This window comes from Homo sapiens, chromosome 1 (assembly GCF_000001405.40).
Source record: "Homo sapiens chromosome 1, GRCh38.p14 Primary Assembly".
NCBI classification, from domain to species: domain Eukaryota; kingdom Metazoa; phylum Chordata; class Mammalia; order Primates; family Hominidae; genus Homo; species Homo sapiens.
In genome coordinates this window covers 43,991,284-44,010,608 of record NC_000001.11, presented here as the reverse complement: position 1 = coordinate 44,010,608, position 19,325 = coordinate 43,991,284, and the positions used below count along the sequence as shown (strand labels likewise).

Genomic DNA, 19,325 nt, shown 5'->3' with positions numbered 1-19,325 from the left:
GCCTCCTTCGCCCCCATCCCTGGCTTAGGCACCCTTTGCCTAAGGCAGGCCACCCCAGACCCTGGCAGTCTGTTGTTGGGGGCTGGCCCTGCCAGTTGGCCCCCTTTGAGGTGAGGAGAGGTGAGAAAAGGACCTAACCCCCCCCCCCCCCCGCCCACAAGGCTCCCTGTTCTATTCCCTGGGGTTCAGCAGCCCCCCTAAATGGTTCAGGGATGTTGAGGATCTCAGCAACTTATGCTTGTGAAATCGCTTGTTTAAACCATCAAATCCCACCCAAGTATGGAGGCTCTGGGACCTGGATTCCACTCCAAGCAGAATTCCTGAGAGCCTCTGTCAAGTTGAAAGACAGGCTGGGGGTGGTGTGCCTCAGCCCAGGCTCCTGCTCAAGCCTGGCACACTCCTCCCTGGGTCCTACCCAATCGCGAAGGTTTTGCTGTTGAGTTCTGAGCAGGAAGCCCAGGGTGAGATCCCTCCAAGCCCACTCCTGAGCCAGACCTCTCCCTGCCTACCAGGCGCCTTCATGTTCCCCTACTTCATCATGCTCATCTTCTGCGGGATCCCCCTCTTCTTCATGGAGCTCTCCTTCGGCCAGTTTGCAAGCCAGGGGTGCCTGGGGGTCTGGAGGATCAGCCCCATGTTCAAAGGTGAGGCCTGGGCGGGGCACTCGCTCACACATACACAAACACACAACGGCCTCTGAGGGCCGTGCCAACTCGCCCATCTGTACAAACATGGCTGACCTCTGTAGAGCCCTGATGCTGACCCCAAGCCCCACATCAACGGCCTAAGCCATGGATGCATGCTGGGACCCATGTTTACTTGGCTGCCACCCTCCCCTCCTACCACGTGTACACACAAAACTCCTTTGCGCCACCCCCCGCCAACTTACCCCTACCAAGACCTTGACCTGGCCTTCCTTTGGCCCTCCATCTCAGCCTGCCCCTTGGGCCCTTAGAAATTATTAACCTCGGGCCAGGCACAGTGGCTCACGCCTGTAATCCCAGCACTTTGGGAGGCCAAGGCAGGCAGATCACCTGAGGTCAGGAGTTTGAGACCAGCCTGACCAACATGGAGAAACCCCATCTTGGCCGGGCGCGGTGGCTTACCCCTGTAATCCCAGCACTTTGGGAGGCCAAGGCAGGCGGATCACAAGGTCAGGAGATCAAGACCATACTGGCTAATACGGTGAAACCCTGTCTCTACTAAAAATACAAAAACAAAATTAGCTTGGTGTGGTGGCAGGTGCCTGCAGTCCTAGCTACTCTGGGGGCTGAGGCGGGAGAATGGCGTGAACCCGGGAGGCAGAGCTTGTAGTGAGCCAAGATCATGCCACAGCACTCCAGCCTGGGCGACAGAGGGAGACTCCATGTCAAAAAAAAAAAAAAGGAAACCCCATCTCTACTAAAAATACAAAATTATCCAGATATGGTGGCGCATGCCTCTAATCCCAGCTACTCGGGAGGCTGAGGCAGGAGAATCGCTTGAACCTGGGAGGCGGAGGTTGCAGTGAGCCGAGATCGCGCCATTGCACTCCAGCCTGGGCAAGAAAAGCAAAAACTCCGTCTCAAAAAAAAAAAAAAAAAAAAAAAGGCCGGGCGCGGTGGCTCACGCCTGTAATCCCAGCACTTCGGGAGGCCGAGGCAGGCGGATCACGAGGTCAGGAGATCAAGACCATCCTGGCTAACACAGTGAAACCCCGTCTCTACTAAAAATACAAAAAAATTAGCCAGGCGTGGTGGTGGGCGCCTGTAGTCCCAGCTACTCGGTAGGTTGAGGCAGGAGAATGGCATGAACCCAGGAGGTGGAGCTTGCAGTGAGCCAAGATTCCGCCACTGCACTCCAGCCTGGGTGTCAGAGCCTGGGCAACAGAGCTAGACTCCATCTCAAAAAAAAAAAAAGAAAAGAAAAGAAAAAAAAGAAATTATTAACCTCACCTCCTCCTGCTGGATGCTGAGGCTCCTCCCCCCACCCCTCCCCTCCTGCAGGAGTGGGCTATGGTATGATGGTGGTGTCCACCTACATCGGCATCTACTACAATGTGGTCATCTGCATCGCCTTCTACTACTTCTTCTCGTCCATGACGCACGTGCTGCCCTGGGCCTACTGCAATAACCCCTGGAACACGCATGACTGCGCCGGTGTACTGGACGCCTCCAACCTCACCAATGGCTCTCGGCCAGCCGCCTTGCCCAGCAACCTCTCCCACCTGCTCAACCACAGCCTCCAGAGGACCAGCCCCAGCGAGGAGTACTGGAGGTGAGGCACCTGCAGGACCTGGGGTGGGGGGAACCTGGTGGCAACCCTGTCCCCACTGGGCAACCATCTGAAGACAAAGTAGGGTGCCTGCTGCAGGTTCAGCCCGCTGCTGGGCTGGGAGAGGGTAGAGGTGAGTGAAGAGTTTAGGAGAAGAGCCTGATGTACAGAAAGCAATGGAAGATGGAGGCCGGGCACGGTGGCTCATGCCTGTAATCCCAGCACTTTGGGAGGCCGAGGCGGGCAGATCACGAGGTCAGGAGATCGAGACCATCCTGGCTAACACGGTGAAACCCTGTCTCTACTAAAAATACAAAAAGAGAAAAGAATTAGCCGGGCGTGGTGGCAGGCACAGGAGAATGGCGTGAACCCGGGAGGCAGAGCTTGCAATGAGCTGAGATCGCGCCACTGCACTTCAGCCTGGGCGACAGAGCAAGACTCCATCTCAAAAAAAAAAAAAAAAGAAAGAAAGCAATGGAAGATGGAATGTTGAGTTGCAGGATCTTTACAGAGTAGCCGTGAGGAAGGCCGTCAGAAATCCAGCAAACCAGCCTTCAGAGGAGACTCAGGGGAAAGGGGGGCAGATCCTGGGGAGAAGAAGAGTGTGGGCAAAGGCTCTGTCCCAGATGAGCAGAGGCTGGCCCCAAAGCTGAAGGGAGCCTACTCTGATGAGAGTAACAGGTGTGGGGAGAATGCATGGGCTTCAGGTGGCCTAGGAAGTGGCACTGCCTTCATAAAGAACTTGCCAGGATTAGGCTTAGACTTGATGATGCAGAACAAAAGACGCCATGGAAGGTCTCTGAGCCGGGGGTGCCGTGATCAAGACATCCTGGCACATTTTGTTCAGAGGCGACAGAGACCAGAGTCTCAGGCCATCCTGCTGTGCCCTCCACCCACCAGTTGGAAATTCCCTGTGTCTTGCTGGGGAACCCCTGGGCAGAGGGCTTTGGGGGCATGCTGGCAGGCCTCCACCATTTATTCCACAACATTCACGCCTCTGCTCTGCCAGGCCCTGTGTCCCCATGGTAGGTATGAACAGCCCAGAGCCCCTGTCCTGAGGAGCTCACAGGGCAGTGGGGAGACAGATTGCTAATCACAGTAGGGCAAGTGCCTCGGTCCAGGTATGTGCAGGGGTGTCACAGAGACACAAAGAGGTAGTGCTTGGTGCTAAGGGGATGGGGCAAGACCAGGCAGTCAGAGCTTCCCAGAGAAGGGAGAGAGGAAAGTAGAGAGATTGGGAACCACATGAGCAGGTGAGCAGAGGCCAGAAGGAGGCAAACTGGAGCTGGGGTTGGGAGCAGGTGGGACGCTGAGTGACAAGACAGAAGAGGCCAGCAGGCATCATATAACACAGGGCCTCCCATGCCAGGCTAAGGGTTTGAGGCTTTTCTCCACATGTGATGGAAAGCCATGGCTGAAATGTACAAGGGTCTGAGGATACCGCAAGTCACCACAGGGCCTCTAAACCCAGGTCCAAGTACTCTGACCCTGAAGGACTCAGCTTCCCTGTGCCAACCTCTGGGCTGGGCTGTAGACACTCAAAGACAGGTAAGACAGGGCCACTATTCTCAAGGACCCAGAGCATAGAGAACACAGTTGCTGTCCCCCAGAGGGGCATGGGCAGACTCAGGCACTCAGTTACCAGACAGGTCATTTCATTTGTCTTTCATTTTTTAATTTTTAACATCCTAACATTTATTTTCTTTTTAAAAAATACACCTGGAACTGAATGGACAGATGATTTCTTTTTTTTTTTTTTTTTTTTTTTTGAGACAGAATCTCGCTCTGTTGCCCAGGCTGGAGTGCAGTGGCACGATCTCAGCTCACTGCAACCTCTGCCTCCCGGGGTAAGCGATTCTCCTGCCTCAGCCTCCCTAGTAGCTGGGATTACAAGCACCCGCCACCACGCCTGGCTTGTTTTTGTATTTTTAGTAGAGACAGGGTTTCAACATGTTGGCCGGGCTGGTCTCGAACTCCTGACCTCAGGTGATCCACCCACCTCGGCCTCCCAAAGTGCTGGGGTTACAGGCATGAGCCACCACACCCAGCTGATTTCTTGAGCACCTACTAGGTACCAGGTACTGTTCTCAGAGGGGAGAGAGGGCAGGGAGGCAGACATTGTCCTCACGGAGCTGCCGTCCGATGGGAGAACGAGCAGATATTGCTGAGTGAGGCGTTTTATTACATTTGAGGCATGATGTGGACTGGTCAACTTGATCTAGTCTGGGGTGATGAACCTTTCTGGAAGCTCCCAGAAACACAAAGCCTTGTGCAACCCCACCCCCAGATGCTCCAGTGGTGGTTGTCCCAGGGACTGACTGCCAGAGATTCCCAGCCCTGGGCCCACCCAGGGCAAAGCTCTAGAGATTTTATCCAGTAAAATCAGAGGGGAAGAGCCTTCAAAGAAATCTGGCTGGTGGAGCCGCTGCACTCTACTCCCCAGCGCGGGCTGGAGCCAGGCCTGCCTAACTGGCCACTGTCCCATGCGGGATACCTTCCCGGCAGCACGGCTCCCTGCTGCCCTCTCCTGGAGATCCAGGGAAATGGCCCTGAAGAGAGCAACCCAGGCTGGCTTCAGCAAGGGAGGAAAGGAAGCACCCTTATTGTTGAGCACCTACTAGGTGCCAGGCATGTTATCTAAGTAGATATTAGTATCCATATTTTCAGACTCAGAAACTGCCGTTTAGAGGTTAAGGAGCTAGGCAGCAGTCGCTGTATCAGAATCTGTGTGTGTTGCGCCCGTCTGGTGCTGCTGTTGCTGGGTGTGCCGGGGTGAATTAGGTGGGGGTGGCTGTGCAGGTGTTTAGTCCACACTCTCCAATGACCCTTTGGACAGCTGCGCGATCTCACTGGAGTGCCACAAAAACCCTGTTAGGTAGCTTGTGTAGGGATTTTAAAAATCACCATTTTACAAATGAGGGAAGCTAATCAAAAGTAAGATGAAGAGACTCTAAAGCGAGAGAAGCTCAAACGGCAGATTTCTGAGCCCATGTCTGCCTCTCACCCACTCACCCTTCTCACTCAGGGTCCTCCCCTCCCTCGCCACCCTCTTCACAATCTTGCCTTCCAGTCCCCTGTGCTGGTCTGATACCTGCTACTGGGTCCTAAACTCGTGACCAGGCCTTCTCACCTCTGCGGTCCCTGTGGGGCCCAGCTCCTGTCCCCCAGGGTCTTCATGGCAGCTCTGGAGTCACACAGACTCCTCCCAAATCCTGGCTCTGTCGCATATTAGCTGTGGCCTTGGGAGGTCGTTCACAGTCATTTGTCCATGAAATTGGGCAGTCGTGATACCTACCTGGTTTTAAAGACAAAATGAGATAATGCAGCCTAAATCACTAAGACTGCTGATAGGAGCTCAGGCAGCACAACCACAGCCCCTGTGGGACCTGTTCCTGAGGGTCCTGTTCTCAAGGCACTCACCACCTGGCCGGGGAAATAAGATTTGTCATGTGGAGACATTTTTAAAGCAACGCAGAGTAATTCTGGAGATGTCATGTGTCAAGAGGTCACTTGTAAATACGTTGGGTTCCAAATGTCCTTAGGCTGTTTGATCTCAAAAGCATGTGGTCCAAAACCAAAACCAAACAAAAAACAGAATATGATGCCCTAAAAATAAAGCTAGAATTCATCATTTGGTTTCCAGGCTAGCCTTTTAAACTCTTCAGTCCCTAACACTGTAACGCTATATTCTTGCAGTCAAAAATAATATAGGCCAGGTGCGGTGGCTCATGCCTGTAATCCCAGCACTTTGGGAGGCTGAGGCAGGAGGATTGCTTGAGCCCAGGCATTCGAGACCAGCCTGGGCAATATGGCGATACCATATCTCTACAAAAAATACAAAAATTAGTTGGGCATGGTGGTGCACACATGTAGTCCCATCTACTCGGGAGGCTGAGGTGGGAGGATCGATTGAGACTGGGAGGTCGAGGCTGCAGTGAGCCATGATTGTGCCATTGCACTCCAGCCTGGGCTATAGAGCAAGACCCTGTCTCAATAATAATAATATAAAACACTACCTGTTTAGCATATATGGTTAGACAAAGTATTAAAAAATCCTTCAGGCCAGGCGTGGTGGCTCACGCCTGTAATCCCAGCACTTTGGGAGGCTGAGGCAGGTGGGTCACCTGAGGTCAGGAGTTTGAGACCAGCCTGGCCAACATGGTGAAATCCCCATCTCTCCTAAAAATACAAAAATTAGCCCAGCGTATTGGTGCATACCTGTAATCCCAGCTACTCGGGAGGCTGAGGCAGGAGAATCGCTTGAACCTGGGAGACGGAGGTTGCAGTGAGCCCAGATCGCACGAATGCACTCCAGCCTGGGTGACAGAGCAAGACTGTGTCAAAAAAAAAAAAAATCCTTCAAACAAGAAATGGTTTCTTTACTTTGAATGCTGGTGCTGGAGGTAGAGCAGTTGTTCTTTGCCCTCTTCCCTGAGGGCTGGGGAGATGCCCCTGCAGGCCTGTATGCCCAGCACTTAGCACAGGCCCGGGCACGTAAATGTCTGATTGATCAAAAGATCACAGCTGGTATGACATAGGGTGCCAGATGGAGCCACCCAGAGGGGAGAAATTTGGGTCCAATCTTTTTTTTTTTTTTTTTTTTTTTTGAGATTGGACTTTTGCTTTGTTGCCCAGGCTAGAGTGCAGTGGCACAATCTCCACTCCCTGCAACCTCCACCTCCTGGGTTCAAGCAGTTCTCCTGCCTCAGCCTCCCGAGTAGCTGGGATTACAGGCACCCGCCATCATGGCCGGCTAATTTTTGTAGAGACGGGGTTTCACCATATTGGCCAGGCTGGTCTTGAACTCCTGACTTCAGGTGATCCACCCACCACGGCCTCCCAAAGTGCTGGGATTACAGGTGTGAGCCACCACACCCAGCCAGGGTCCAATCTTTACTGAGCATTCCACTGCTTCCCTCAATTTATCAGAGATAGAGCTAATTGGTGCACGTGAAATGCTCACTGGTGGCTTCCTGGAGGAGGTGACACCTGACAGAATGAGGAAAAGGCATTCCTGAAGGGAGAAGTGTGCAAACAAGGACCTGGGCTGAGCCCAACTGGGGACAAGGAGATCTCCTCGCCCAGGAACTAGGAAGACCACCCAAGCCTGGGGTGTGGCCTCCAGGAGCCCTTGAAGGGCCTGGGAAAGGCTGCAGAGCAGTGGACTGTGTTGGGCTCCCCAGGGGCTGCAGCAGGTGGAGGGGACTGGGCCGGCCAGGGCTGGGCCCCTGAAGTAGCTCCCATGTCACACAAGGTGGCTGCTGGGACCTCATGACAAAGGAGGGTACAGCCCGGGTGGGCCCTGGGCCTTGGGAATTTGTTGCTGGGCAGCGGCGGCTGGCCCTCAGTGACAGAGTCTCCCCTTCCCAGGCTGTACGTGCTGAAGCTGTCAGATGACATTGGGAACTTTGGGGAGGTGCGGCTGCCCCTCCTTGGCTGCCTCGGTGTCTCCTGGTTGGTCGTCTTCCTCTGCCTCATCCGAGGGGTCAAGTCTTCAGGGAAAGCAAGTACCCCTCCCCAGCAGGGTCTGTGCCCACCCAGAAAGACCCTGCCCCCTACCTGGGTTATGTGTGTATTGCAGGGAGGGGATGCTGAAGGGACTCCGGAGCCGGAGAGGGACCAGGGGGCTGGTGGTGATTAGGGAGCCAGGGTGGTGGTGCCCAGGGGAGGGGAGAGCCCAGAAGAGTCCATGGAGCCCTCTTGTGCCAGGTGGTGTACTTCACGGCCACGTTCCCCTACGTGGTGCTGACCATTCTGTTTGTCCGCGGAGTGACCCTGGAGGGAGCCTTTGACGGCATCATGTACTACCTAACCCCGCAGTGGGACAAGATCCTGGAGGCCAAGGTGGGAAGTGAGGGAAACCGGAAGGGGGCTGGGGAGGGGCCAGGGAGGTGCCTGCCTCTGCCCACAGCTCCTCACCCACCGGTCCTTCCCTGCAGGTGTGGGGTGATGCTGCCTCCCAGATCTTCTACTCACTGGGCTGCGCGTGGGGAGGCCTCATCACCATGGCTTCCTACAACAAGTTCCACAATAACTGTTACCGGTGAGTGCTCCCTGCTGGGCTGAGGCTGCCCCCTTCCTGCACTCTCTGCAGCCTGATCTCAGCTCCAGTGCAGCCATGGGCCCACGAGGCCTCCTTTCCCCTCATGATCTTGAGGTTCTGGGAATACTGGTTCTGGATAAAGTTGTTGGAGAATGAGGAGAGAGGTTTAGGCAGGAGAGAGAAGAGAGATAGGGACAGTGATGTCCCAGGGGTCTGTGAGGACTCAGGCAGCTCAGGCTCCTTAAAAATGCCCAGAACAGACCAGAAAAGGAGTTGGGGGCCAGGCTCAGTGCTTCACGCCGTAATCCCAGCACTTTGAGAGGCCAAGGCGGGAGGATCACTTGAGCCCAGGAATTCAAGACAAGCCTGGGCAGCATAGTGAGACCCCATCTTTCTTTATAAAACATAAAAAAGAAAATTAGCTGGGTGTGGTGGCACACACCTGTAGTCCCAGCTACTTAGGAGGCTGAGGTGGGAGGATTGCTTGAGACCAAGAGGTCAAGGCTACAGTTAGCTGTGATAGCGCCATTGCACTCCATCCTGGACAACAGAGTGAGACCCTGTCTCCCACTCCAAAAAAAAAGAGTTGGGGGTGCCTTTGTACCTAGAACTTTCCGTGTCTCCATGTCTCCTCTTGGCCCAAATTGGGGAGAGGGAAGCTGAACTCTGTTTTCCTCCCCATCAGGGACAGTGTCATCATCAGCATCACCAACTGTGCCACCAGCGTCTATGCTGGCTTCGTCATCTTCTCCATCCTCGGCTTCATGGCCAATCACCTGGGCGTGGATGTGTCCCGTGTGGCAGACCACGGCCCTGGCCTGGCCTTCGTGGCTTACCCCGAGGCCCTCACACTACTTCCCATCTCCCCGCTGTGGTCTCTGCTCTTCTTCTTCATGCTTATCCTGCTGGGGCTGGGCACTCAGGTACGAGGTGCAGGACGTGGACCGGAGGCTTGGGGAAGGGAGGGGACAGGAACAAGGGGCAGGTCTCCGATCTGACAGCCACATCCTGCAGTTCTGCCTCCTGGAGACGCTGGTCACAGCCATTGTGGATGAGGTGGGGAATGAGTGGATCCTGCAGAAAAAGACCTATGTGACCTTGGGCGTGGCTGTGGCTGGCTTCCTGCTGGGCATCCCCCTCACCAGCCAGGTAAGAGCTGCGTAAGGGAAGGGCTGGCCCAGAGTTGCCAGGACGTGCAGGGAAGGGTTGGGGAGCCCGGGCTGCAGGCGCCTCCCACAGCTGCCCGCTGTTCCCCAGGCAGGCATCTATTGGCTGCTGCTGATGGACAACTATGCGGCCAGCTTCTCCTTGGTGGTCATCTCCTGCATCATGTGTGTGGCCATCATGTACATCTACGGTGAGCACTCGAGCCTCCGGCCTCCCGCGACCCGGCCCTTGGCCCGCCCACTCTGTCCTGCGGGTCTGCTGACCCCCCATCTCTCCAGGGCACCGGAACTACTTCCAGGACATCCAGATGATGCTGGGATTCCCACCACCCCTCTTCTTTCAGATCTGCTGGCGCTTCGTCTCTCCCGCCATCATCTTCGTGAGTTCCCTGGCCGGCCCCTCCCTTCCCCCGCTGCCCCTTGGCCATGTGTCCATCTCTTGGGACCCAGCGGAGGGACAGTGGGAGCTCCCGCACCTGGCCGGAGCTCCATACCCATGACTCTGGCCTTTGGGAGGCTGAGGGAGGTTGGAGAGAGTCAGAGAGGCGTGTGGCGACTCAGAGCTGCCTGGGCCCTGGCCTCAGGTTAGGAGGGGAGTGCCACAGCCTTTATTTGACTGCAGACGTTGCTCAGGCATTCCTGCCTGGCACCCCCGGGGACTCAGGAGTCAATATCGATAGCGTGTCAGCCTCTGCCTGCTGGCCTTATCTCCCATCCCTCCAGGGAGGGTGTTCCAGGGCCTTGGCTATGTGGTGGGAACCAGTGTTCCAGCAGCAGCCCAAGGCTGGTAGACCAGACTGTGGAGTCAGAGGTCAGCTCTGCATGGGGGCAACTTTGCAAGCCTTCCAGGCAGTGAGGTGGGTGGCTTGGGAAGGGGAGTTCCAGGTTTTATGAATATTCAACAGCTGAGAAATTCCCATCAGGGAGCTGAATTGGTGGAAGGAATCCACCATGGCAAGGAAGCAGGCACTTTCCACACACCATTCCCATGTAACCCGTGATAGAGCTCTCCAAGGTGTCATTGTTGTCCCCACTTTACAGATGAGGAAACTGAGGCATGGGGATGTTAAGTAATTGGCCCATGGTCACACAGCTAATAAGAGGCAGAGCCACAATTCAAATCAGGTTGTCCAATTCCAAGCCTGGGCCAGCGCCACACTAGAAACACCTCTGCAGGAGGGAGGAATGGTCCAGGGGCCAAAACCGTATGACTTGGCTCCTTCCTGTTTGGGGTGGGATTCGGGGAAGGCAGGTATTGACAGTGTAATGGTCACTCCACAGAGGACAGGCAAGGCCACCTCTGAGTGATAGTCAGAGGGCTGGCCCAGTGGCCCGGCCAGTGTTCAGAGCCACACTCTTGTCATGTTTAATGCCTCGGTGGCACAGGGGGCTCAGCACCAGACTTCCCCTGTGGCTCATGTTTCTGAATAAAGGCCCGTGGAGGGCTGAGGCCTCTACCCGGTAGGTTGTGGGATGTTCCCGAGCCTGGCACAGGCTCCCCGCTCTGGCCACTGGCCCAGCTTTGAAACAGGAGGAACGGAAGTCTCAGTGGTGGGAGGCAGGGGAGGGCAGGCACCACCACCCCAGAGTGCCATGCCTTCTGGGGCTATGGCCCAAGGGGAGCTCAGCCTCTGCGGCTCAGAGGGTCTCCCAGCATTCAGACTAGATTGATGTCCTGGGGAGAGACCAGGGGGCACCTGCCAAGGGCAGTGGGGAGGAAGGAGACAAGCACAAGAAGGATCTGTAGGGGCAACCTTGGCTGGGATCTGGTGTCTCCACAAGATTGAGGCACAGCGGGCGGGGCTCTTCCTGTGCCCAGGAAGCCAGGCTGGAGTTACCTTTAGGGGAGCCTAGAGTCCTCTCCTTGGGGTAACTCCAGCCTGGCTTTCTGGGCTGTTGTGTTTTCTCTGGGGGCTTTCCTTTTTCATATTTCTGAAAAGCTCTTTTTGACAAACTCCACCCTTCTGTCAGCTCAAATGAGGGATTTGTCCACACGTAGGTCAGGATCTGTTCCATTCAGGAAACCTGTTATAAGCTCCCATCGTGTGCAGTGTCTCCGGAGGGTCCCCCAATTTGGATGTGGGTCTTGCATTCTAGAATATGGCCCTGTGCTCCAGGATGTGGCTGGAGGCTCAGGAGGAGGGTGCTGGGACTGCCCCCCCCCTTCCCCCGCCAGGCCCTCTGGGTGGCCCGCCAGCCACTGCCTGTGTTTCTGCCTCCTTTCACTCCTTTTGTTACTGCAGCCACAAGTTTTATTTCCAATCTCACTCATCTCTTTCCAAGGAGGTTCCCTAGAGCACCGCAGCCTGACACTCACCATTTCTAGCCCATGGAGCTTCCCCAGGCTGAATGTCCCTGTCTCCACGGCCATAGACAGGCAGGGCTTTGCCCTACCCTCTTTCCATCCTCCTCTGCCTCTCTGCACAAATCAGTTCAAATCAACACAAGAGACTGTGGCAGGCACTGTACTGGGCACTGCACCCCCAGAGTTGATGCAATTCCAGGAGCTCTCAGGTCTATGGGAACGTTAAACCAAGTCACTCTAAGGGAAGCAGGTGGAAAACGCCGTGGGGAGGCCCTGCAGAAGGAAATGGAGGAAATCTGGGATGGCTTTTTGAAGGAGAGGGCACTGACATAGGGTTTGACAGAGGAAGATGCAGAGGATGATTCCCCAGAATAAATGAAGAGTGGGTGGGAAACACTGGGTGTGACTGAAACACTGAGGGCGGAGTAGTGTGGCCGGCAAGACAATTTGAGGTCACACTGCCAGGTGACAGCCTAAAGGCCCAGGATGTGGCCTTACTTCAGTTAGCCATGGGGAGCCATAGCGAGCAGAACTGACTGATTCCAAAGGCGGCAGCAGCTCTACTGTGCTTGGCCAGTTCAGGACTGTGGCAAAGACAGACTTCTCCCTTCCGCAGAGCCTTCCCACTCACCGCGCTCCGGCCCCCGGCCCTGCCTGCTTCTTCCACGGCCCAGATGTTGACAGCTGTCCCTGTTCTGCCCCAAATGCCCTTTTCTAGTTTGGGAAACCAGAGAGGAAAGGGTGCTGGTAGAGGGATGGCCTGGGGTCTGGGCTCTGGGTCGGCCTCACGCCCACTCCCACACCTGCCCCGTGCAGTTTATTCTAGTTTTCACTGTGATCCAGTACCAGCCGATCACCTACAACCACTACCAGTACCCAGGCTGGGCCGTGGCCATTGGCTTCCTCATGGCTCTGTCCTCCGTCCTCTGCATCCCCCTCTACGCCATGTTCCGGCTCTGCCGCACAGACGGGGACACCCTCCTCCAGGTGAGGGCAGGGACAGGCTGGGTAGCCAGGCAAAATGGGAGGGGCCAGCTGGAAGGGGCTTAAGGGCTCCCTCCTGACGTGCCCTGCCCCTGTGCCCCATGCCTACCTCATGCAGCGTTTGAAAAATGCCACAAAGCCAAGCAGAGACTGGGGCCCTGCCCTCCTGGAGCACCGGACAGGGCGCTACGCCCCCACCATAGCCCCCTCTCCTGAGGACGGCTTCGAGGTCCAGCCACTGCACCCGGACAAGGCGCAGATCCCCATTGTGGGCAGTAATGGCTCCAGCCGCCTCCAGGACTCCCGGATATGAGCACAGCTGCCAGGGGAGTGGCCCCACCCCCACCCCGTGCTCCCACCGCAGAGACTGGTGAGGCAGAGGCCAGGTGTCTCTGCCTGCCCCCTGCCACGCCCTGGCCAGGACGGCTGCTGTCACCTTGGTCACCACTGCTAGTGCAGTCATTCATGCTCATGTCCCCAGTGTTTACATGTCCTTTGGATGCCAAGATAGCAGCTGGGGGGAGGGGTGGGAGTGGAGGGTTGCTGGGAGGTCCAAAGCACTTTGGAGGGGTCTCGGGCCAGGTCCCCAGCAGCCTGGATGGCTTTACGTGGCCTCCGATACCCTTATACCCTGCCCTGAGCTGAGGTTCTGGGTGGGCCTCCAGCCCCATGACTAGTGCTCCTGCCCTCAGAGCCGACCCCAGCCTCTGCCAGGCACATTTGGCTATTCCTCCCTAGGGGCAGGATGAAGGGCTGGGGGACTGCCCAGTGTTACTTGTCAGGCTGTGCTGCCCAGCCCTGTTTATCTGTGTAATTATTTTTGTAAACATTGTATTCTCTGTGGTCGCCACCTCCTCGCCCCCAGCCTCGGGTTCAGTCTGTCTTCCAGGCCTGCTTGCACCTCACTGGGCTGCTCCGGGGTCTCTGCCCCTCATTCCAGGCCTGGCTGTCAGGCCCAGCCAGCAGGGGCCCGTGACCCAGCAGCCTGCCCAAAGCATTTGTTTCTGGGGGATGGGGTGGGGGCTGCTCCACAGGAGGTTTGAGCCCAGCACCCTGGGGAAGGGGACCCTGCACGACACCCCCTTGCCCTCCCTCCATGAGGCTAAAGGCCCAGTCTTCCCAAATGTGCTGCCCTCGTTCATGTGCCAAATGGCCCCAGCCCACATGCCCCTCCCCTCTCTGGAGTGGGAGCCCCTTCTGAAGTGTCTGAATCCCTGAAGTGTTCATTTGTCCGTCCTCTGTGCAGTGACAGCCCCGGCCAAGCCACCTCTAATCCTCTGTAGCAATAACGGTGCGCCGCCCATCCCTGCCCATTGTGCACCACTAGGATTTTAAAGTCCATAGATTTTAATGAAATTTCTATTCCTGTCTCTGAGCGGCTGCTGTGCTTTGTCTGGGTCCCCCAGGGGACAAGAGTCAGGCTGGAATGAGACCTCTGTCTGCCAGGCCTTTGTGGAGGCCTGGGAGGAGAAAGGCCAAAGGCTTTGATGCTTGGGACCGATGCCCGGCCACTCAGCTCCAGACACCAGGGATCTGGCAAGGGGGTGGGGCAAGGGCCAGACAGACCAACAGCCTTGGGGTCCTGGCGAGAGCTCGCCAAGACCAGATCTGAAGCTGGCTGGGCCAAAGCAGCTGAGGCGGCAGCGGCAGACAGGTGCGCTGTGGCAGAAGCCAGAGCCTACTCGGTGACCAGCCCTTCAGGCTGGGGCTTGGGGTGCTGCACTGGACATGGGTGTGGAAGCTGGCCCTTCCCTGGGGCTGCACTGAAGCTGCCGTCCCCAGCGGTGGGTAGCCGACTGGCCTCGAGGTCGAAGGTAGGGCTCCAGAGGAGGTGCAGGCAGGCAGCACTGGAGAGGTGCAACCCCGCAGAGGGGAAGCGGGGGTCTGAGGCCCTGTGTGGAGGACCCCAAGGGCCGCTGCCTGGACAAGAAAGAGTAACTGTGAGGGGTGGTGGTCTGATCCTTCAGTCCACCCTGCCCTGTGTCTACTGTTGTGGTTTACCTGTGGTTGGGAGAGACACAAGAAGGCCCCACAGATGCCTGCAGCTCCTGCTCCATGGCCTTCTTCTGTTCCTTTAGCTCTGAAGGAGAGATTGGGCTGAGACAGTGCCCAGCTCTTCTAGGGTGTGTACAAGTGTGGGGTGGGAGCAGGAGGCTGGGTGTTCTGGGCCCTGCTCCGTGTCCTCACCTGCCAGGGTGGGCTCCAGGGCTGCCTCAGAGGGGTGGCAAGGCCTCAAATACTCCTCTTCCAGGCAGCGCTGCAGGGAGAGCTGCGTCAGTGCCCAGACTCAAGGCAGGGGTGGGGCAAGGCAGGATACAGAGGCCAAGATCCCCAGGGCAGGCCCGTGCAGCCCCTTCAGCCCATCCACCGTGAGGGCAGCCACGTTCCCCAGGGAATACCAGCCTTGCGGAAGAGCTGAGTTTGGCAAGATAGTGGTGGGGCCTGTACCCAGACTTAGGTAAAGGAAGGAGGCAAAAGACCTAAAACGGTTGGCCCTGGCCTTAAGGGCTCAACTAGAATCCTGGGCCTCCAGGATTTTGCAGGTGCACACAAGCATGCACCCCTGAGAAATGGATGCAGGACTCACATAGCCTGTACATGCACCTATGTATGCACACAGGTACATGGGTCTCACCCAGGTGAGAGTCTACGCTCAGCAGTGAGGCTCGGGGGAGGGCCCAGGGCTGCGGCTCACCTGCAGGATGAGGATCTCCCTCTCCAAGGTGTGACACTCCTCCTCCAGAAGGCCCCTGGGACATGAGGGAGCAGCAGCCAGAACCCGAGACACAGGACCAGGGCTCAGCTGAGTCCACCACATGGCCCCAACCTCCAGCCTCAGCAGGAGCCCCACCCAACCTGTCCTTCCTCAGCCCACACTGCCCTCTGCTGCTTGGGGGCTGACCCAGCATAGACGTCTGGCCCCTGTGAGGCTCTTTCTGGGCAGGAAGTATCTTCCCCTCGCCTGCCTCACCCTGGCAGGCATCCTTCTCTCTCCCACACTTCTGCACTGTGATTCTTCTTGCCTCCATCTTCCCCCACATCACAGCCCTTCCGCTGCTTAAAATCCTCTGACACAGGCTACCCCTGTGTCAAGGTATTTATTTTTGAAACAGGGTCGGCCAGGCGAGGTGGCTCATGCCTGTAATCCCAGCACTTTGGGAGGCTGAGATGGGCGGATCATGAGATCAAGAGATCGAGACCATCCTGGCTAACACAGTGAAACCCCGCCTCTACTAAAAATACAAAAAAATTAGCTGGGCATGGTGGTGGGCATCTGTAGTCCCAGCTACTCGGGAGGCTTAGGCAGGAGAATGGTGTGAACCCGGGAGGTGGAGCTTGCAGTGAGCCAAGATCACGCCACTGCACTCCAGCCTGGGCGCCAGAACAAGACTCCATCTCAAAAAAAAAAAAAAAAGAAAGAAAGAAAGAAAGAAACAGGGTCTTGCTCTGCCACCCATCATGACTCACTGTAGCCTTACCTTCCAGGGCTCAATCAATCCCTTCTCACCTCAGCCTCCCAAGTAACTGGTACAGGCGTGCACCACCACGCCCAGCTAATTTTTGTATTTGTTTTGGTAGAGATGGGGTTTTCCCATGTTGGCCAAGCTGGTTTCGAATTCCTGGGCCCAAATGACCCTCTTGCCTCGGCCTCCCAAATTGCTGGGATTATAGGCATGCACCATCATGCTCGGCCGTGGCATCTGTACTTGGCTGCTTCCTGAAAGCAACCTCACTAGCTCTATAGCAGCCAGCTCTTTCCACCTCTCAGCCTTACGCACATGGGCCTCCCCGCCAAGTATACTACCCACCTCCTGTCTCACAATCCCAGCACCTCAAGATCCATCCTTGTCTCCACCCCTGCCTATACACATGCAGGTGCCCCTGGGCCTCACCTCAGGTGTCTGGCCACCTGGTCAATGTTGGACACGTTCAGTTGGTCCTTGATGATGCTGAGATCTCTGTGACCGCTGCTGGCAATGAAGTCACTATCACTCTCCGCATGTTGCTCACCCCAGGCCTTCAGGACCCAAATATCACTTCTAGGCAACTGTTTCTTTTCTCACAAAGGCAATATAATATAGTGCAAAGAGTAAGAGTTTGGGAGCCTAGGTTTGCAAATGAGCTCTGCCACCCTTCATTGTGTGTGACTTCAGGCAAATCACTTATCGCTTCTGAGCTTTAGTTTCTTTTCCTTTTTTTTTTTTTTTTTTGAGACAAGATTGTGCTCTGTTGCCCAGGCTGGAGTGCAGTAGCACCATCTTGGCTCACTGCAGCCTTGACATCCCGGGCTCAAGTGCTCTTCCCACATCAGCCTCCTGAGTAGCTGGGACTACAGGTGCGTGCCACCACGCCTGTTCAATTTTTTTGCACAGATGGGGTCTCACTATGTTGCCCAGGCTTCTTTTTTTTTTTTCTTAGAGACAGGGTCTTTGTCACCCAGGTTGGAGTGCACAGGTGCAATCATAGCTCACTGCAGCCCCGAATTCCTGAGCTCAAGCAATTATCCCACCTCAGCCTCCCAAGTAGCTGGGAATACAGGCATGCGCCACCTCACCTGACTATTTTTTTTTTCACTTTTTGTAAAGATGGGGTCTCCCTGTATTGCCCAGGCTGATCTCAAACTCCTGGCCTCAAGCCATCCTCCCGCCTCAGCCTCCCAAAGTGCTGGGATTACAGGCATGAGCCACTATGCCCGGCCTTTAATTTCCTCTTGTGCAAAATGGAGATTTTGCCCACCTCCTCAGGCTGTGTGAGGATTAGAATAAGAAGTTGCTGCCATCCACTTATGAATATTTTATCTCATTCAGTCCCAGCTGTAAATACCATTTGTGACCATCCTCTTCAGCTCTCCCTGCCTCCCTAGCCCAGCCCTCACTCCTGTTCTCTAGGCCAGAGGAACAACCGCCTGCTGGACATGGCTTCCTTTCTTCCCTCTTCCTACAAAGCTCTTCTCTTTCATCTCCCTGAAAACTGCTCCTCATACTACAACACGCAGATCAAACCACTTTCTCCAGGAAGCTTTGCCTGTCCCCAGGCTAGGCAGGTGTTTCCTCTGGGTTTCAGTAGCCCTCATGGGCTGATAATCTCTATCACAAGTGGCGGTGGAAGTGCCCAGCCCGTGACTGGAATCTCCTGCATGGAGCCAGGTGCAACCCACCAGTGGGCTAGGGCCCTCTGCCAAGCAGGGACAGATCCCTCTCTCCTACCATCACCTTACCTGGGCCCACCACCTCTCATCTGGAATATCTCCTGTTCTGGCAAATCACACCTGGGCTCCTCCAAGGCAAAGTGCAGGACCCTGGGGCTATACTGGACCCAAGCTTGGGCCTGGTCCCTGCAGAAGGTGCACAGGAAGGAAGCTGAGAGGCTCCTTTCTGGAAACCACAGAAAAGGCAACCCTGGCTCCTTGTTAGGGGCAGCGCTAGCCCACCTGGTATCTAGGGAAAGGGCCCAGGCCTGAGGCTCCCACCTGCCCTCACAGATGGCTTTGTGGCGGAGACCCTGGAGCAACTGCCGGAGCTCCTGGCGCAAGAGGTCCTTTAGGAGAGGCGGTGGTGCCAGAAGAGAAGAGGGGTCAGAGATGGGGCGGGAGCTGGGGGCTTGAGAGGATCGAGCCTCTTGGAGCAGTGCCCGTAACATCGCCACCTGCAAGGAGAGCTGGGATACCTTGCGACTGGGGAGGGGAGTGTCCGGAATGGTGGGGGCTGGGGGAGTGAGGGAGAGGGCGGAGTCAAAGGGGAGACCAGGATAGGATCTCGGGAGTTACCCGGCAGGGCCAGGGACCCGCAGAGGTGGGAAATCACCCGAGTCGTGGGGCAGGCCAGGGGCGTGGCCCACCTTCCCTCTCCCCACCTCCGCCCGCAGCTCCAGGCTCAGGTCCACCGCCGCCTCCCCCAGAATCCTCTTCACTTCGCGTCGCTCCCGGAGCGGAACGTGCTCCTCCACCAGCTCCCACAGCGAGGGGGAGTGCCGGAGCATGACCCACCGACGCCGCCGTCCCCGGCTCGGACCTACGGGCCGCAGGTCAGAGTGCGGGAGGTACCGCGGGCCCGCCGGCAACGCTCACCAAACCCCGCCCCTCTATGGGCCCCGCCCTCTCCCAAGCCCCACCCGTGCTCTGCCGCTGGTCCCCTCGGCTGGGATTGCCCGTTCCGGAACTGCCAGTCCTTGGCGCTCTCTTCTGCCCGGCTTTTGGCCGACTCGGATGCCGGGGGCCCAGAAACCAGGCAGTGGGAACCAGGGCCCTAGCCCCACCTCTTCCGCGTGGCCATCACCCGGGAAACCACGCCGCGACTCTAGGGCCCCGCCCCCTCCCGTGTTTGGTCCGGCGGGCGGCGCGTGCCGGCTGGGAGTTCAGACTCACCTCGGCGCTCCACCGAGCCCTGACCCAAGCACTTTGGGCTCGGCCCTGGGCACCTTTAGGCCTCAGGGAACGTGTTAAGACCTGAGAAATCTGGGTCCACGGGTTTATTACTTCGTCGCCTCCACTGTCCCGGAAGCAGTGCAAGGACAAACTTCCCCTTAAGGCCAGTGAAAGCCTAGGGAGTGGCAGCGCTTGGAGAACCAGGATGGC

At 56.6% G+C, this 19,325-nt stretch overlaps 2 protein-coding genes across 21 annotated transcripts in view, besides 5 other annotated features; one reads left to right on the top strand and one right to left on the bottom strand.

The window, feature by feature from the left end:
* SLC6A9 (solute carrier family 6 member 9) overlaps positions 1-14,126 on the top strand; it is a 34,980-nt gene extending 20,854 nt beyond the window's left edge. For 9 of the 16 annotated variants that reach the window (NM_001024845.3, XM_047428739.1, NM_001328629.1 and 6 more), the window contains 11 exons: positions 513-644; positions 1,986-2,256; positions 7,624-7,756; positions 7,963-8,097; positions 8,193-8,296; positions 8,982-9,219; positions 9,311-9,445; positions 9,554-9,653; positions 9,742-9,842; positions 12,584-12,754; positions 12,870-14,126. In NM_001024845.3, coding sequence (NP_001020016.1) covers positions 513-644; positions 1,986-2,256; positions 7,624-7,756; positions 7,963-8,097; positions 8,193-8,296; positions 8,982-9,219; positions 9,311-9,445; positions 9,554-9,653; positions 9,742-9,842; positions 12,584-12,754; positions 12,870-13,064 — 1,715 coding nt within the window. In that variant the 3' untranslated portion in view covers positions 13,065-14,126. Of the gene's footprint in view, positions 1-512; positions 645-1,985; positions 2,257-7,623; positions 7,757-7,962; positions 8,098-8,192; positions 8,297-8,981; positions 9,220-9,310; positions 9,446-9,553; positions 9,654-9,741; positions 9,843-12,383; positions 12,755-12,869 lie in introns of those variants that run through there. The other 7 variants (NM_001328626.2, NM_001328628.1, XM_047428744.1 and 4 more) reach the window with 5 other exon arrangements.
* Positions 4,719-4,925: a silencer, noted in NCBI's record as "fragment chr1:44471356-44471562 (GRCh37/hg19 assembly coordinates)". NCBI's record gives its function as "represses an EF-1alpha promoter that drives an FKBP-Casp9 reporter gene in an ReSE screen in K562 erythroleukemia cells {active_cell/tissue: K562}" and the evidence as "EXISTENCE:reporter gene assay evidence [ECO:0000049][PMID:32094911]".
* Positions 4,833-4,892: a silencer, noted in NCBI's record as "silent region_803". NCBI's record gives its function as "represses an Ori minimal core promoter by ATAC-STARR-seq in GM12878 lymphoblastoid cells {active_cell/tissue: GM12878}" and the evidence as "EXISTENCE:reporter gene assay evidence [ECO:0000049][PMID:35858748]".
* CCDC24 (coiled-coil domain containing 24) lies at positions 14,081-19,010 on the bottom strand. 5 transcript variants are annotated; one of them, NM_152499.4, is made up of 9 exons: positions 18,863-19,010; positions 18,605-18,762; positions 18,222-18,397; positions 17,970-18,086; positions 16,645-16,722; positions 15,447-15,501; positions 14,939-15,008; positions 14,753-14,831; positions 14,081-14,671 (listed from the first exon to the last, which is right to left on the bottom strand). In NM_152499.4, exons 2-9 carry the CDS (start codon positions 18,728-18,730, stop codon positions 14,449-14,451), a joined length of 924 nt encoding a protein of 307 aa, NP_689712.1. In that variant the 5' UTR covers positions 18,731-18,762; positions 18,863-19,010; the 3' UTR covers positions 14,081-14,448. The 5 variants fall into 5 exon arrangements, 4 of the variants coding, with proteins under 4 accessions (NP_689712.1, NP_001336056.1, NP_001336057.1 ...); NM_001349127.2 differs by having other exon boundaries at positions 14,081-14,667; NM_001349128.1 differs by lacking the exon at positions 18,863-19,010 and having other exon boundaries at positions 16,645-16,719; positions 18,183-18,397.
* Positions 15,478-15,772: an enhancer, noted in NCBI's record as "tiled region #11322; HepG2 Activating DNase matched - State 12:CtcfO, and K562 Activating DNase unmatched - State 5:Enh". NCBI's record gives its function as "activates a minimal TATA promoter and a strong SV40 promoter by Sharpr-MPRA in HepG2 and K562 cells {active_cell/tissue: HepG2 | K562}" and the evidence as "EXISTENCE:reporter gene assay evidence [ECO:0000049][PMID:27701403]".
* Positions 18,557-18,606: a silencer, noted in NCBI's record as "silent region_802". NCBI's record gives its function as "represses an Ori minimal core promoter by ATAC-STARR-seq in GM12878 lymphoblastoid cells {active_cell/tissue: GM12878}" and the evidence as "EXISTENCE:reporter gene assay evidence [ECO:0000049][PMID:35858748]".
* Positions 18,747-18,856: a silencer, noted in NCBI's record as "silent region_801". NCBI's record gives its function as "represses an Ori minimal core promoter by ATAC-STARR-seq in GM12878 lymphoblastoid cells {active_cell/tissue: GM12878}" and the evidence as "EXISTENCE:reporter gene assay evidence [ECO:0000049][PMID:35858748]".
* Positions 19,011-19,325: the final 315 nt, after the last annotated feature.